This window comes from Homo sapiens, chromosome 6 (assembly GCF_000001405.40).
Source record: "Homo sapiens chromosome 6, GRCh38.p14 Primary Assembly".
NCBI classification, from domain to species: domain Eukaryota; kingdom Metazoa; phylum Chordata; class Mammalia; order Primates; family Hominidae; genus Homo; species Homo sapiens.
This window is the reverse complement of record NC_000006.12, coordinates 84,184,951-84,203,150: the sequence shown is the minus strand read 5'-3', so window position 1 is coordinate 84,203,150 and position 18,200 is coordinate 84,184,951. Positions and strand designations below refer to the sequence as shown.

Here is an 18,200-nt window from a genome sequence, read left to right as displayed (position 1 = left end):
TTCATATTGCCTACCTTATAGAACTTATCTTTGAAGCTATCTAATAGTAGCTAGTAGAACAATTAATATTGTTGTTTTGTTATGTGTTATTACTATTTATTATTTTGGTCTCTATCTGGGCACAGTCTCTTTGGTACTGTGTGTTAGGACTAGATGTTTTTAACATGAATGAAAACGTGGACTCAAAAGAAACACTTTTCAGGTGTCTATAAATCTTCTTATTTTCAAGTTTACTTAGTATTTGGTCCTGGGGTGTCTACATGTCACTCAGTTTTGAGGAAAAAATGAGATGACCTTAGAAATAACATAGAAATTAATGTGATTGATGAATATCCTTAGAAATTTAATGAGATTTATACTTGGAATATGGCAATTACAATATTTTATTGAAAAATGAATAGGTCACCAGCCTGGCCAACATGATGAAACCCCTTCTCTACTAAAAATACAAAAAATTAGCCGGGCATGGTTGGCACATGCCTGTAGTCCCAGCTGCTCGGGAGGCTGAGGCAGGAGAATTGCTCGAACCCCAGGGGCAGAGGTTGCAGTGAGCCAAGATTGAGCCACTGCACTCCAGCCTGGGCAACAGAGCGCAACCCTGTCTCAAAAAAAAAAAAAAAAAAAAAAAAAAAGAAAGAAAGAAAAGAAAAGAAAAATGAATAGGTCAGTACAAGGCATAATAGTGTGGTATATTTAGAAAGTGTACCATATGCATAAAAAGGTATCAGCCTAACTGTGGAAGCTTCAGAGCACTGTCTGGGTAAGAATCAAAATAGGAAGGGATTAAAGCTCTGTTATTGGAAGGTCCCACAAACTGCCTACCCAAGTAGGAGGTATAGGTGATATTAATAGGAAAAGTTATTCTAAGGGAACCTCTAATATTGAAGAACTTCAGCTGTCTAGCTGTTTGGTGGCCTGTCTTTCTGAAAGTTGTATCTTTTGAAACATAGATGAAATAATGAGTACAAGATTTAGTCATTAATTTTGAACAGTAAGGGAAAATAGACTGGTAATGCTATAATTGCAGAACTCTTGTGTGAAATAGCTCTGTTATCTTGACATTCAAAAAAACCAGAGAATTCTTGAGCAAGGTAGATGAGCAAATGGAACTTAAATACTTTAAGCAAGAATTTTTAAGGTCTAAATTAATTTTGGTAATTGCCAAGTTTTAGAAGAGAATTTTAGACATTCTGTCAGAGCTAGTCTTGAAGAATTATTGATAAATGAGAGTCAGTGGTGAAAGAAGCCTAGAAAACACAGTTCCTGATCGTTTCAATGTGGAATAAAAAGCCCTGGATTTCAGATTTTGCTATTATTTGCATTGTGGTAATTTTACATAATTTTGGTTTCAAAACATATCATCATTTTCCTTTTTTAATTTAGGAAGAAGAAAAAACTGGCATGCTTGCTAATGGTAAATATTATTTATATTCATGTTTTAGTTGGCAAAAAATTAGTCTGTTCAGAATTTCATCTCAGTAATTCTGAATGAGTCACTATCTGTGTTTGTTTTTAAATATTTCTAAGGCATTGAAGTTCCTAGCTTTTCTCAATAATGTGTTTCTATCTTGAATCCATTCTGTTATATTTAAGATTTTTTTTGTTATTTTTCTTATGCCCTTTGCCTTCCATGTGTACATGTATACTAGGCTGTTCATAAGCATAGATATGTATGTTGATGTTAGCCTACTGTCTTCTACATCGGAAGAAGATCATATTTGTTATATACATACACACACACACACATAGATAAAACATGCTTGTAACATATATACATATATAAGTTTATAGATTCTTTGTATATAAGCATTTATCTTTGTTTTAATATGCATTGCATTTTGTTTGTTTGTTTGTTTGTTTGTTTGTTGTTTGTGAGACAGACTCTCGCTCTGTTGCCCAGGCTGGAGTGCAATGGTGTAATCTTGGCTCACTGCAAGCTCCACCTCCCAGGTTCTCACTATTCTCCTGCCTCAGCTTCCTGAGTAGCTGGAACTACAGGCGCCTGCCACCACGCCTGGCTAATTTTTTGTATTTTTAATAGAGACGGGGTTTCACCGTGTTAGCCAGGATGGTCTCGATCTCCTGACCTCGTGATCTGCCCGCCTTGGCCTCCCAAAGTGCTGGGATTACAGGCGTGAGCCACCGCGCCCGGCCTGCATTGCATATGTTTAAAATAATTGTATTAGATCAACAGAACCACTGAGTTTATCTACATTCCTTATATTTTTCTTTTATATTCTTCCAGTTGTGCTGCTTGATTCATTAGACTCTGTTGCAGAGGTCAATCTTGATGAACAAGATAAAATAACACCTAAGCCAAGGTGCCTACCAGAAATGACTGAGAATGAAATGACAGGAACAGGTAAAAATGTTTAGAAACCTGACTGTTCTCTAAATATGGAATGCTTTATGACTAATATGACTACATTTCTAAGGAAATATATATATAATAACTATATTGATAATGAAAACTTTAAATCTGACATTTTTCTACCATAATAATAATTTAAATAATTGGAACTTGCTGATGGTGACACAATGCTAGTAGGCCAAGTAAAGTGAGGTTTTAAATAAATATTTGTTAATAAATGAATAAATGCTGTTGATAATAGTGTAGCACTGTAGGTGAACGTTAACTAATTTTCTATGCCTCTCCAGAGTATTCAGTTAAATCTGCCATGTGTAGGAGAAATGGGACTTTGGTCTTATTGTGCTTTTCCATAGTTCTTTCTCTAGGAAAAAGCTACACCCCATCCCCAAATTCTGAAATACCTGAGACCAACTAGACTTTCCTAAAGCTTATAAAGGTCTTTGAGATAATGCCTTTTCAAAATTTTTTAAAGCAGTGGAATGCACATCTTCAGTTGAAATCTATTTTTTTGTTTTGTTTTGTTTTGTTTTGAGATGGAGTCTTGCTCTGTCACCCTGGCTGGAGTGCAGTGGCGCTACCTTGGCTCACTGCCAGCTCCATCTCCCAGGTTCATGCAATTCTGTCTCAGCCTCCCAAGTAGCTGGGACTACAGGCGCTTGCCACCACACCAGGCTAATTTTTTTGTATTTTTTTAGTAGAGACAAGGTTTCACCGTGTTAGCCAGGATGATCTCAATCTCCTGATCTTGTGATCCGCCCGCCTCAGCCTCCCAAAGTGCTGGGATTGCAGGCGTGAGCCACCACACCCGGCCCAGTTGAAATCTTATGTAGAACTCTCTCATAGGTAAAAATGATACTTTATCAGGATAAATATTTAAACTTATGTTTGTTACATTTGTTCATAAAATAGATGAGGACAGTAATGGTCTTTTGGAATTTTTGAAATTAGAAACTATTGAGATTTGTTATGGTCTCATATCACCATCAGCCGTCCAATGTGTTTGTGTTTTTTGTTTTTGTTGAATAGTATAAAAATATTCTTATTTTATCACATAAATAGCTGCAAATGGGAACTTTTTAATCAGCTTGCTTTGCAGTCTATGGATACTGGTTAACTAAACCAATTCAGACACTTGATAAAAAAGAGTAATAGAAATCGCTAACCAACTCAGAAATCACTAACCGTCAGCAGCTTGCATTTCATTCTTTTTTTTTTTTTTTTGCTTTTTACTTTTTAATTGATATATAGTATACCTATAGAAAAGTCTGTGGTATCACAATAGTGCAACTCAATGAATTTTGAAATACTGAGCACACCCATGTAATCAGCAACCAGATAAAAAACAAGAGGACCTAAACCACAATGTCCATCACATCTCTTATTTCTAGTCACTGTCTTTCCAAGAGTCACCACTATTTTGACTTGTTACATCCACTTTCATTTTAAAATATAAAGGTAAAAAAATTACAACTATAAGACATAATTTTCCCATCGAGACACATTACTCACTTGTTGCCCAACTGAGTATTCTACCATGATGTAAGCATGTGCTGAGTGCATGTCCCTCAGTTTTACTGCTGTTGATTTAAGGAACCGTGTCACATACGTGCTTTGATAGTCTATCCCCTCGCACAGTTTTCAGTAGGCAGACATGAATTTTTTTAAAAGGCCATTGTACAGCTACAACTTTTCTGATTAACAGTATTTTATAGGAAGTTCATGTGTTCAGGATGACCAGAGAAACTTTATTCTGAGATGAGCATTAAAACCAGTAAAAAAGAAAGCAAAAATTATTTAAAATATTATAATTACATAATGTCTTCAGATTATTACAGTTACATAAATGGTACATTTGTGTATTATGCAGATTAGGTTCTATTATAATGTTAAGTTTTTAAAACTTAAAGCTTGCCACTTAACCAGCTTTGTGACATTGGATAATGAGTACTTCTAAGCATGTTTTCTCTTCTTTAAAATGAACCCTTTTGATGGTCAACTGAGATAATATATAGTACATAGCACATTTTTAAGATTCACTAAACAGTTACAACTTTGTTGTTGTTATTATCATCATTATTTATGTCAACCCTCTGTTAATAATACATGCTATAGTAGAGAACCTAGAGTTATACAGTATAAACACTTGTTGGCTTTGAGGTATTGAATTTCTGATATTTAAAATATATACTTTAAAGTCTTCAGCTAGGTGCAATGGCTCCCATCTGTAATCCCAGCACTTTAGGAGGCCGGAGCGGGCAGATCACCTGAGGTCAGGAGTTCGAGACCAGCCTGACCAACATGGTGAAACCTAGTCTCTACTAAAAAATACAGAAAATTAGCCAGGTGTGGTGGCACATGCCTGTAATTGTAGCTACGCAGAAGGCTGAGGCAGGAGAATCGCTTGAACCTGGGAGGCGGAGGTTGCAGTGAGCCAAGTTCATGCCACTGCACTCCAGCCTGGGTGATGGAGTAAGACTCCATCTCAAAAAATAAATAAATAAATAAAATAAAATAAAATATATACTTGAAAGTCTTCAAATGAGTATGTGAACTAGGTTTAAGAACTGAAAAGTTCAGTGGGGTTTTTGTTTTGTTTTACCATGCCACTTCATGTATTAAGCAGTTAACTTAAACATTGGTTAATTTTCAAACATTGGCTAACTTTAAACATTGTCAAAGATTCTCTTTTGTTAAGAATATTATTTATGAAATTATTTGTGCCTTGCTGTATCAAAGAGGTTAGTAAATATAAAACTTAAGGTTTCCTAACACCAAGCTAAATCTAACCTTTCACTTATTTTCATTTGTCTCACAGGCAAGTACCATTTTGTGCTATGTCTGCATTACTGGAGTCGTCACAGGATGACAGTGTTGCTCCATGAAACTAGACCCCTTTCCTCTGCAAAACAGTATTTAGCACTTCTCAACTTTCTCTCTTTTTTTTTTTTTTTTTTGTTTTGTTTGAGGCAGAATCTTGCTCTGTCACCCAGGCTGGAATGCAGTGGCATGATCTCCGCTCACTGCAGTCTCCACCTCCTGGGTTCAAGTGATTCTCCTGTCTCAGCCTCCTGAGTAGCTGGGATTACAGGTGCACCCCACCACGCCTGGCTAATTTTTGTATTTTTTTTTAGTGGAGACGAGGTTTCACCATGTTGGCCAGGCTGGTCTTGAACTTTTGACCTCAGGTGATCCACCTGCTTCAGCCTCCCAAAGTGCTGGGATTACAGGCGTGAGCCACTGTGCCTAGCCTCAATTTTCTAAAGTTGAAAAATATGGGAGCTTTTGACTTGTAATAATAATACATAAAATAACTACAGAGTCTTCTGTTTTCAATGTAAAAGGCAGATAAGGAACCCCTTTTCATGATATGCATGGAAAAAAGTTACAACCCCTTTTCATGATATGCATGGAAAAAAGTTACATAACCATTAAATTAATTTTAATATGGCTTAGGTTAATAACTCAAGTTAGAAAAGTACCATTTTCCTGCCATTTTTGAGCAGCCTCTCCTACCTCCTTTTTTTTTTTCCATTTCTCATTTCTAACTTTTAGGTCATTTGTTTTTCTGCATGTTTGCTCTGTTATTGCTTAAAAGCCTAGAATCTATTCTTTCTGACACCTCATACCTACTAAATTAGGTATGAGCATTTGATACTACTATGGTCTTTACCATAGAAGTCATTTCTTTTATGTATGCTCAGCAGATACTTGCTCAACCTGATATTTCTATAGAGGAAAAAAAGACACCGTGTGCTTTTCCTTTTTTCTTGAAAATTAATGACCTCTTTCATTCATGCTGCAAGCAAGACCTTTTTCCTCATGTCCTCTTGAAAATCTCTGCCCTTCAACTGTTGACAGTTCTTCCTTAGCAGTATCCTCTTCTGTTTTTAGTTTATTTAAGCAAACTTGTTATTTGGATATACTTCATGTAGCCATGGGGACCTGAAGCACTAGCTAGAAAGACATCTCATTGTAAGGCATTCTTATACAATCTTATATGTACCACTTGGCTATCTCTTCTGTTTAGAAGTTGTGTATATACACAACTTACATTGTATATACAGGAAGATGAGACTATATATACTATTTTATTTTTAATAACTGGTTAATTAACCATGGGTATGAAGAGAAGAGATTAGTCACCTGTTTTTCTTCTTTTTTTCCCTCTCTTCCGTGATTCATTATTTTCCTCTAATTTTGAAAATTCCACTTGTTAGTAATGAAAATTACAAAATAAGCAAGAAAGTACTCAAAAATATGCAATCATTATTTTCATTAAATTATTTGAATTCTTTTTTCTAGAATTTGTCAGTTGGTGGAAAGAGAAGGTATATTAGTCCATTTTCATGCTGTTGATAAAGACATACCCAAGACTAAGTAATTTATACAGGAAAAAGGGTTTATTGTATTTACAGTTCCACATGGCTGGGGAATCCTCACAATCATGGCAGAAGGCAAGGAGGAGCAAGCCACATTTACATGGATAGCGGCAGGCAAAGAGAGCTTGTGCAGGGAAACTCTTGTTTTTAAAACCATCAGATCTCATGAGACTCGTTCACTATCATGAGAACAACACAGAAAAGACCCACCCCCATAATTCTATCACCTCCCACCAGGTCCCTCCCATGACACATGAGAATTGTGGGAGTTACAATTTAAGATGAGATTTGGGTGGGGACACAGCCAAACCATATCAGAAGGCTAATAGGGAAGGAAGAGTGAATGATGACATCAAGGTTTCTATTTTGACTGAGTAGTGATGTGATTAGGAAATACTGGTAGTAGAACAAGTTTTAGTAGGGAATATAATGAATTCAGTTGGGGAATATGTAGATGTGATATAGAGCAATCTAGATGTCTGTTAAGTTGATATTCAGAAAAGAGTTATAAGGACACAAGACATAGATTTGGGAGTCATAAGCATATGGGTAATAGTTGAAGCTAAAAGTCTTCATGAAGTTAGCCAGGCCAAAAAACTAGTAAGTGAGAGGCATTCAAAAGAAGAGGGCTGAAGATGGAGCCCTGAAATGAACTATAGACCGCAAGAGTTGGAAAATTGCCCTCAAAATTATGGTAATAACAAAAAGAAGAAGGCATGCAGAAGAAACAGTTACAGGAAAAAAAACAATGTTTGACTTCTCTGCCTTTTGGCTAAGATAAAGTGAAAAAGATAATGTCAGATGTCTCACATAGTTGAAGAGAACTAAATACAAATGGAGTTGGTCATTAGGAAATTGCTTTTGATCATAGCAGCTTTAGCAGGATGTTGGAATACATTGGATTGCAAAGTTGGAGGAGTGAATTCATTGTGGTTGAAAAAGTGCAAATGACAAGATGCTTGGTGGTACAGAGAAGCAGAGAGAATGGTAATGGTAAAGGAGAGGTAGAATCCGTCAAAGGAATTTTTTAGTTTGGGAAACTTAAGAATAGTTATGCAGAGGGGGTCGATTAAGAATAGTAGGAGAAAGAACAATGACGAGTGAAAGCAGATTTTATGCTTACCACATCAGGACACGCCTCAGTTTGCTAAAAGAGTTGTTGAGCCTGCTATGAATCCATGCTGGTAGGCCATAGCTGCAAATTACCTAGTTAGTACTTAACTCTACTTTTATATTCCTAACAGGTTAAGGAATGATATTAGTGTTTTATCGTTCTCATGTATTTGTGATGTAATTATTTCTGGTGATTACGTTTATTTCAACAGGTGTTTCTTATGGACAAAGCAGTAGTGACGTTGAAGCCCTACATCAAGCTTATTGTCATATAGCCCATTCATTGGGAGATGAAGACAAACAAAAAATTGAGAGTAACACAGTGGAAGATATCAAGAGCTCAGTGAAAGGTCATCCTCAAGAAAATGAAGAGAATTCAAAAAACATCTCTACTATGGAATCTGGTAAAAACTTACAGATGAATTTTTCAATTATTTGATATCCTTTCTAAAGAGTTTTTAGTGTAATATAATTAAAATACAATTTGCTGTAGTGATTGTTTCTCAGTCTCTGAGCTTAATTAAAGAAATTTTTTCAGCCAGGCGAGGTGGCTGATGCCTGTAATCCCAGCACTTTGGGAGGCCGAGGTGGGTGGATCACGAGGTCAAGAGATTGAGACCATCCTGGGCAACATGGTGAAACCCCATCTCTACTAAAAATACAAAAATTAGCTGGGCATGGTGGCACACGCCTATAGTCCCAGCTACTCGGGAGCCTGAGGCAGGAGAATCACTTGAACACGGGAGACGAAGGTTGCAGTGAGCCAATATTGCGCCACTGCTCCTCCAGCCTGGCAACAGAGTGAGACTCTGCCTTAAAAAAAAAAAAAAAAGATTTTTTCAAATGAAATACAGGAACCCTTGGTTTAACTATAAAATTAGAGCCAAACACAAAACGAAATTTCACTTTCTTTTCTTTTCTTTTTTTTTTTTTGAGACGGAGTCTTGCTCTGTCGCCCAGGCTGGAGTGCAATGGCACGATCTCGGCTCACAGCAGCCTCCGCCACCCTGGTTCAAGCAATTCTCTTGCCTCAGCCTCCTGCATAGCTGGGATTACAGGTGCCTGCTGCCATGCCCAGCTAATTTTTGTCTTTTTAGTAGAGATGGGGTTTTGGCATGTTGGTCAGGCTGCTCTCGAACTCCTGACCTCAGGTGATCCACCTGCCTTGGCCTCCCAAAGTGCTGAGATTACAGGCATGAGCCACTGCGCCTGGCCCAGTTTCTTTTCTAATATGCCTTGATCAAATTAAGAAGTCATTTAAAGGGATATTTTTTACTCTTTTGTATGTACGTATATTAAAGTTGTATTTTGTTAGACAACAGTATTTCAGGATCAACCAAATATGTACTTAGCGTGTGTGTATGTATAGATATTTTTTGATAAATATATTTGATATTGATATTTGAGATATTTATTTGATATTTCATAAGAAAGGAAGTTTTCCTGGTATAAGGAAACTTAAGACGGAAAACTAGGTTTATTGCATGTACCGTTTTATTAACTGTGTCAGAGAAAATATAATTTTGGTGTTATTACACATGTAAATTAAGCAACCTACATAACATTTTTCGTTTCTACTTTTTTTTCCACCTCTTAGATCTGCCCACAGTAGAGGAGCTGATGAAACCTATCAGAATAGATTCCTTTGGGATCAGTGGTTTTGATTTACAACCTGTCAGGTATGAATTTTTTATTTATTGTTTTGTCATTGGAAACTTTTATAGTCATTTGTTCTATGTAATCATTCCTAGTGAATGATTAATGACTAATACTAGCTTGACTCTACCTGTGAGTCATAACTCTCTTCTTTTTATATTTGTCCTTACTCAAGTCATCAAAATTCTAGGGCTAAATGAAAAAATAAATAGATGCTATAAAAAAACTGGGGCCACTAAATAGTCCTAAAGGTTTTCACTGAAAAATACAGTCTCCTCAGCTTTAAATAGTGCCGGAACAGTTCATTCATGATGAGGGAGAAAGTGAATTTTATTATGTTTATGAGTCATAGATTTCCTTCTTTATAAACCAGTTAGTTTTGACTTAGTCACAGACTGGCTGTCATCTCACAGGGTGAGTTTGTAGCCACAAGAGAAATGGTCCTCATTAAAATGCTTCAGGTCCAATACAGTTTAGTGGAAGTATGTGTGACCCACTGTCATTCTTCAACACGGAGTAACATGTCACAGTAACCTTGTAATAGACAGCGTTGCTTTTATGTAGCACTGAAATGTCATGTCCAGTCTCCCACGTGATCCTCATAACAAGTAGAGAATGCATCTTTATGCCCATAATTCAAGAAATGCACCTGAGATTAACTCAATTTACTGGTAGATGATAACAGCTAACATTTTTCACATTTACTTTGGGCACATACTATACGTATATTATTTAATTTAACCTTACAGCATCTCCATGGGTTATACTCCATTATTATCCCTATTTCATAGACAAGAAGATTGAAGCCTAAGAGATTAAAATAAATAAAGCCATTGCCCAAGGTCATATAGTTGTAGACCAGGAACACAGGCCATCCATGTGCTTAACCACTTACATTGTCAGGTCTTTGATCTCCATAAAATACTTCTGTGAAATAGTCTGTCATCCATTCATGTTGTCATTTGTTCATTTGTGTCTTCAACAGACATGTTTTCAGCCTCCTTCCTATACTGTATCCTCATGATGTAAATCCACATGTGGTGATCTCCTGGCCTTGTTTCTACATTTGTGTGAGTTGAGAAAAAAATGATGCAGTGAACCTTCCACTAAAATTCATTCACTTCAATGCTAAGTGTAGTAGTCTTCCATTGATCTGTAGTGCTAATTAGTATTTTTAAAGGAGAGATGGTACCACTCATCATTGCTGTTTGGGAGTATGTTAGCGGTAACTACAGAGATTTTCTTACACATCTTATATCTTTGTTGTTATAGGTAAAACCATTTCAGTAATAGGAATTCTAAAACAGATTTTTACATTTGTGTTTAAAAGCTTAAAACAGATATTTTGAAGGTATAACAGTAATCATACGTAATAGAAATGTCAGTAATATGATCTTTAGTACACATACCTAAAAATTTTTTGGTAAACTATGGAGTAAATGACCCTAGCTGCTATAACATAATCCTTGAAATCTTAGTAGCTTGTCATCAAAAATGTATTTCTTGCTCACATCACTATCCCTTGTGGGTCAGTGGGGTTGGATTGGGGCTCTGCTCCACACAGTCATTTAGGAACCCAGGCTGCTTGTCATCAACACATAGTTTTAAGATTGTTATGACATCATCCAACCAGTCAGTAAGGAAAGAAAGAGAATGGTTTTGCGTCCTTTCTTTTAACTGCCTTAATACAGAAGTTTCATATCACTTCAGCTCACATTCCATTGGTAGGAACCAGCACATCTAGCTAACTAGGTCCAAGGAGGCTGTGAAATGTCGTTTGTTTCTGTGCCAAGAAAGAAAAATGAGTTTGGTCAGTATCTAGTCAGTCTCTGCCAGGATATACCTTTCTAATAACAAAATATCAATTTCACTCTTCTTCATACACAGACCAACTTATCCCCTTCCCCAAGCAGGCAGCCCCAAGTCCCATTCAGGGCTATATGCATCTGAAAGGCCAGGATTTCCAGGTGAAGTGCAGTCCTCTCCATCAGGTTTGAGTATGCTTCTCGTTGTGTACCAATGGTTGAATTAAAAAGACAGGGTTATAATTAAAAAGACAGGGTTATATACTTCCTCACCCCCATCCCAATATATAATGGTGGAACCAGTAGATACACCCTTTCAGCAAGGAAAAGTATGAGGAAAACACAGCAATCAATGTTACAACTTTGAGAACCACTGGAAAGAACTTGTAAAGGCCCCCTACCTTGGGAATAGGGGTTTATTTTCCTTGATTAGGTTATTATTCTATTAAGAAGGGGCTACCTTAAATCAGTTATTCTATATAGCCCCTCATTCCATTCCTTGGAGGATTTGTCTTGTATGTTATCACCATTGGCTACAACTGAAGTGAATTTTAGGTTGAGGGGTATGCCCATCTTGGGGGATACACTCCCTTCTCAATCCACTTCCTGCCCACAGGTAGCTTTAAGGTTCCCAGTCACTGACTTTTGGGTTTCTTTTTTTTTTTTCTTTTGAACAGGGTTATGGTTTTTTACATTATATTCTTTCAGAAAGTTTCGTAACTTAATAATCGCTTTGGTCCCAGTGAATTCCATGTGCCAATAATGAAACTTAGAGTTCTTTGCTACCCAGAATCTATAAGGAACTTAAGCAAATTTACAAGCAAAAAACAACCTCATTAAAAAGTAGGCTGGGCACGGTGGCTTACGCCTGTAATCCCAGCACTTTGGGAGGCTGAGGCAGGCGGATCATGAGGTCAAGAGATCGAGACCATCCTGGCCAACATAGTGAAACCTGGTCTCTACTAAAAATACCAAAATTAGCTGGGCGTGTGGCGCATGCCTGTAGTCCCAGTGTGTCTGGAATTGGTGGGTTCTTGGTCTCACTGACTTCTAGAATGAAGCCGCGGACGCTCGCGGTGAGTGTTACAGCTCTTAAGGTGGCGCGTCTGGAGTCTGTCCCTTCTGATGTTCAGATGTGTTCGGAGTTTCTTCCTTCTGGTGGGTTCGTGGTCTCGCTGGCTCAGGAGTGAAGCTGCAGACCTTCGCAGTGAGTGTTACAGCTCTTAAGGCAGCGCGTCTGGAGTTGTTCGTTCCCTCCCGGTGGGCTCGTGGTCTCGCTGGGCTCAGGAGTGAAGCTGCAGATCTTTGCAGTGAGTGTTACAGCTCATAAAAGCAGCGTGGACCCGAAGAGTGAGCAGTAGCAAGACTTATTGCAAAGAGCGAAAGAACAAAGCTTCCACAGTGTGGAAGGGGACCCGAGCAGGTTGCCAATGCTGGCTCGGGCAGCCTGCTTTTATTCTCTTATCTGGCCCCACCCACATCCTGCTGATTGGTAGAGCCAAGTGGCCTGTTTTGTCAGGGCGCTGATTGGTGCGTTTACAATCCCTGAGCTAGATACAAAGGTTCTCCACGTCCCCATCAGATTAGTTAGATACAGAGTTTCAACACACAGGTTCTCCAAGGCCCCACCAGAGCAGCTAGATACAGAGTGTCGATTGGTGCAGTCACAAACCTTGAGCTAAACACAGGGTGCTGACTGGTGTATTTACAATCCCTGAGCTAGATATAAAGACTCTCCACGTCCTCACCAGAGCAGCTAGATACAGAGTGTTGATTGGTGCAGTCACAAACCTTGAGCTAAACACAGGGTGCTGATTGGTATATTTACAATCCCTGGGCTAGATATAAAGACTCTCCACGTCCTCACCAGAGCAGCTAGATACAGAGTGTCGATTGGTACAGTCACAAACCTTGAGCTAAACACAGGGTGCTGATTGGTGTATTTACAATCCCTGAGCTAGATATAAAGACTCTCCACATCCCCACCAGACTCAGGAGCCCAGCTGGCTTCACCTAGTGGATCCCGCACCGGGGCTGCAGGTGGAGCTGCCTGCCAGTCCTGCGCCGTGTGCTCGCATTCCTCAGCCCTTGGGTGGTCGATGGGACTGGGCGCCGTGGAGCAGGGGGTGGTGCTCGTCGGGGAGGCTTGGGCCACACAGGAGCCCATGGAGTGGGTGGGAGGCTCAGGCATGGCGGGCTGCAGGTCCCGAGCCCTGCCCTGTGGGAAGGCAGCTAAGGCCCGGCGAGAAATCGAGCGCAGCGCCGGTGGGCCAGCACTGCTGGGGGACTCAGTACACCCTCTGCAGCCACTGGCCCGGGTGCTAAGTCCCCCATTGCCCAGGGCCAGCAGGGCTGGCTGGCTGCTCCGAGTGCGGGGCCCACCAACCCCATGCCCACCCGGAACTCCAGCTGGCCCGCAAGCGCCGCACGCAGCCCCGGTTCCCGCTCGTGCCTCTCCCTCCACACCTCCCTGCAAGCTGAGGGAGTGGGCTCTGGCCTTGGCCAGCCCAGAAAGGGGCTCCCACAGTGCAGTGGGGGGCTGAAGGGCTCCTCAAATACCACCAAAGTGGGAGCCCAGGCAGGGGAGGTGCCGAGAGCAAGCGAGGGCTCTGAGAACTGCCAGCATGCTGTCACCTCTCACCAGCTACTCGGGAGGCTGAGGCAGGAGAATCGCTTGAACCCAAGAGGCAGAGGTTTCAGTGAGCCGAGGTCACACCACTGCTCTCCAGCCTGGTGACAGAGCGAGACTCCATCTCAAAAAAAAAAAGTGGGCAAGGACATGAACAGACATTTTTCAAAAGAAGACGTGCAGCCAACAAGCATTTGAAAAAATGCTCAACATCACTAATCATTAGAGAAATACAAATTAAACCACAATGAGATGCCATCTCATGCCAGTCAGAATAGCTATTATTAAAAAGTAAAAAACAAAAAAAAATATGCTGGTTGCAGAGAAAAGGGAACATTTATACACTGCTGGTGGGAATGTAAATTAGTTCAGCCATTGTGGAAAGCAATTTGGCGACTTCTCAAAGAACTTAAAGCAGAATTACTATTCACCCGGCAATCTCATCATTGGATATATACCAAAAGGAATATAAATTGTTCTACCATAAAGACATATGCATGCATATGTTCATTGCAGCACTGTTCACAAGATCAAAGACATGGAATCAACCTAAATATGCCCATCAGTGGTAGACTGGATAAAGAAAGTGTGATACATGTACACCATGGAATACCATGCAGCCATAAAAACGAATGAGGTCACGTTCTTTGCACCAACATGGATGAAGCTAGAGGCCATTGTCCTAAGCAAACTAATGCAGGAACAGAAAACAAAATACTGTATGTTCTCACTTATCAGTGGGAGCTAAACATCAAGTACATATGGACAGAGAGATGAGAACAACAGACACTGGGGCCTACTTGAGAGGTTGGGAGGAGGGTGAAGATCGAAAAACTACCTATTGGGTACTATGCTTATTACCTGGGTGTGAAATAGTCTGAACACCAAATCCCCGTGAACAATACCCGTATCCCTGAACCTGGAATAAAAGTTTAAAAAAAAAAAGTTCTTTGCTAGACAAAGGTTTTAAATCTGCTTTAATATTTGATTCCTTGTCCCTCTAATTTTTTTCTCTGCGTTTATTTGCAGTTCTCTGGATATTTGGGGAAACAATACTTAAATGTGAAGATGACACTCTTTTTTTTTTTTTTTTTGAGACGGAGTCTCACTCTGGATGACACTCTTAATATGATCTTTGCTAAGGGACTGGGTCACTCTTTTCAACCAAGAAGTCTCTTGAAATCTTGCTTTTTCATAGCATTCTTCAAGGCTGAATCTTACAGACTGAGTCTACAGAGAGAGAACCCATTTCCAGAGTTTCTAGATTCCTTCTATTCTCTTTAAATTCTGCTTACAAACCAGCTCATTCTGTGTTGAGCTCATCAGTTTTTTGGTAATATCTTGTTAAAAGAAGCTAATAGTAGCCAGCACTTAACTCCTTGTTCTTTCCAGTCATTTCTCTTAGTTCTCCATGGTCGGCTGGCATGTGGTCTGCCTTATAAACTTTTGTAGATGACAGTTTAGCAATGTTTTGCCACTGTAAAACATAGGCTGCCGTCTCTCCAGACTCTAGTTATCAGTTTCCTGCCATCCTAAACTTGACAACTAAGCCAGTAACAAATAAGTTGGGTTCTTAGCATCATAGCACTCACATTCTAAAGGGAAAAACTAGTAAATGGTCCCATCTAGATGGAAGTTGGCAAGGAAATATAGTTTAGTTGGTACCCAGCAAGAATGAGAAACAATTTTGATTAGCATCTAGCCAGGTTCTGCTGCTATGAAGAAGGAAAGAACTATTATATTTCTGATGATTCCACCTACTAGCAGTTACCAAGAAGCCAATCTACATTATATGAAAATGGTAGCCTCTTAAACATTCTTTAATCTTATTTTATAAATTATAAAATTAAATGGCCTAATTGACACACGATTAAATATTTTAAGACTAACAGTTCCCATATTTTTGGAGACCCTGTAGTTTGCCAATATTTAACCGCATTTAAAACATTTCCTTACGTTGTATCTTCTAGGTATTTAATATCTAATTGAATTGTTACATTTAAGTGTTTTAAACCACAGAAATGATTTTCTTTTCAAAGCCTAGTGATTTTTCTGTTTTACATTAAAATTTTTCCTATACTGTGATTAAATATATGCTTTTTTAGTATTTATACTCTATGCCTCCTTAATACAAATTTATGATTATTTCTTTAGTTTCTTCTAGAAATGTTTAAAATGTTTTTCTTATTTCAAATGCATGTCGACTTTATAAGAAATTGTAGATAAAAGATATATTACAAAAAGTTCACTTAGAAATTTGTATTTTACTTTTCTTCTACAAAAGCAGTCTCAGTCTTGTTTGGTTTGGTCTTTCTCTAAAATAGATCTCAGCATCACCTTTATAATCCTTTGCATTATACTGCATTAAAATTATTATCCGAAATTAAAAGCAATTACACTATGTGAGTGTACTGTTAATCAAAATTATACTGTATTTAACATCATTAACTTAATTTGAATAGTTAACAATTCAAATATATAGTGTGTCTGCGTGTACACACACACGTGGTTATTACTGATATTTGAAAAGCTGTTACATAGGGTTCATTATCTGTGTCCTGTTTTGTTTTATAGCTCTGAGAAAGTGGCCGAAAGAAAAGAAACTGAATTTTTTAGCTCTTTACCCCTGAAGATGAACCCAAATATTTTGTCTCAAGACTCACAACATGTGAACCTTTTTTTTGACAAAAATGATGAGAATGTGATTTTACAAAAGACCACAAATGAGAGTATGGAAAACAGCTGTCCACAAGTAACTGAAGTAACTGCCACAGAAGAACATGTTGATAAAATGTACCTTAATATTTTGAGGAAAAAAATAACTGTTAATTCTTCATCATTATCTCAGGATGACAAAATTAATAAAGTAAGTATTTATCATCAAATTGATTTGAGAGATTGAGAACCGAAGTTATGTAAAGTATATAAGTACTATTGGTAGGTGTGTGCTTTTTAAACTAGTGGGATTGATTATATACTAACCTCCACAGTAGATCTTGGATATTTGTGAGTGATGTTTGTTACAATGCTAGCCAATCCCCAAATTCAAAAATACCACCATAACATTAGCTTGCTTTTAGAAGCCATTCTTTATACATTTTTTCCTTTTTTTGAATAAAATATAGTCCAGAATTTAAATAGTATAAGAAAAAGTTTATTCATCATTGTAGTATGCACTGTTCAGTCTTTCCAGTCATTTGTATTTTTTAAGTTGGCGTTTTATAGGAAAGCAGTTAACACCTGTGAAGAAATTTACATTTTACTGATTATTTTTCCTGTATTCTTGATCTCTTCTGCTTTATAGTTCCCATGATTCAGACATTCTACTTGTATTTTATAATTTTGAATTATGTATTTAAGTCATCTCCAGTTCTTTGTGGAATAAGGCAAGGTATTAATAAAAATTTTTAAAGCATCTTGAGAAGTTCAGATAACAAATAAGATTTTATGTCATTTCAAAATATGTTCTTTCTGCTGCATTCATTCAAGTAATTACACATCTTGGTTTCTGGCAAGCTAATTTTGCTTTATTATTTTGCTTTACTTTGTTTCAATGCTAACTTTGAAGGTCTGCTTCAAAATACTAAAATTCTGATGCATTAGACTTCAAGAACTTAACTATGGTAGTTTGCCTTTTACAAACTACATTATTTGATAATCACTATTGTTTTGCCATCTATTAAATATTCATTTACAACAATAGTTAAAGTTTATTTAGGTACTAAAGAGCTTTTGTTTGTTGTGTACAGACTTACAGATCTCAACTTAGTTCTGAAGAAGAAGGGGCTGTAATGGGTAAACAGGTACCATACAAGAAGGCCAGAAGTGCACCTCCTTTACTTAAAAGGAAACCCCAGAGTGGATTATATGCGTCAGTTAGGAGCTCAGGCTATGGCAAACCCAGTTCACCACTCAAGATGTTTTCTACTCTTGAAAAGAAAACTTCAGAGGACATTATAAAAAGCAAAAACTTGAGATCGATTTCTACCTCCAATCAACCTAGGAAAAAAGGTAATCATATACTCTTTATTTAGTATATTGTTTTACTTTCTTTGCTTCCATGGAAGAGAATTAAGGTACCACATTCCATTTGTAAGATTCAATTTGCAGGAGGCAACAGGGCTTGACCCAGGGTGGTGGCAGTGTAGGTGATGAAAAGTAGTTAGATAAGGACATATTAGAAGGTAGAACCAAAAATCTGAAGAATTGGTTTTGGGTTGCTAAGATTTTTGGCTTGAGCAACTGGA

The 18,200-nt window shown here is 38.1% G+C and overlaps 1 protein-coding gene across 12 annotated transcripts in view; it reads left to right on the top strand.

The window, feature by feature from the left end:
* The window catches only part of CEP162 (centrosomal protein 162), a 103,394-nt gene that overhangs the window by 24,493 nt on the left and 60,701 nt on the right, over positions 1-18,200 (top strand). For 11 of the 12 annotated variants that reach the window (XR_007059227.1, XM_005248674.5, NM_001286206.2 and 8 more), the window contains 6 exons: positions 1,384-1,414; positions 2,246-2,362; positions 8,076-8,267; positions 9,461-9,542; positions 16,528-16,819; positions 17,703-17,964. Coding sequence is in view for 11 of the 12 variants with exons in the window: in XM_005248674.5 (XP_005248731.1) it covers positions 1,384-1,414; positions 2,246-2,362; positions 8,076-8,267; positions 9,461-9,542; positions 16,528-16,819; positions 17,703-17,964 (976 nt within the window). In the remaining variant the exon portion in view is untranslated. Of the gene's footprint in view, positions 1-1,383; positions 1,415-2,245; positions 2,363-8,075; positions 8,268-9,460; positions 9,543-10,504; positions 10,590-16,527; positions 16,820-17,702; positions 17,965-18,200 lie in introns of those variants that run through there. The other variant, XM_011535592.4, reaches the window with a different exon arrangement.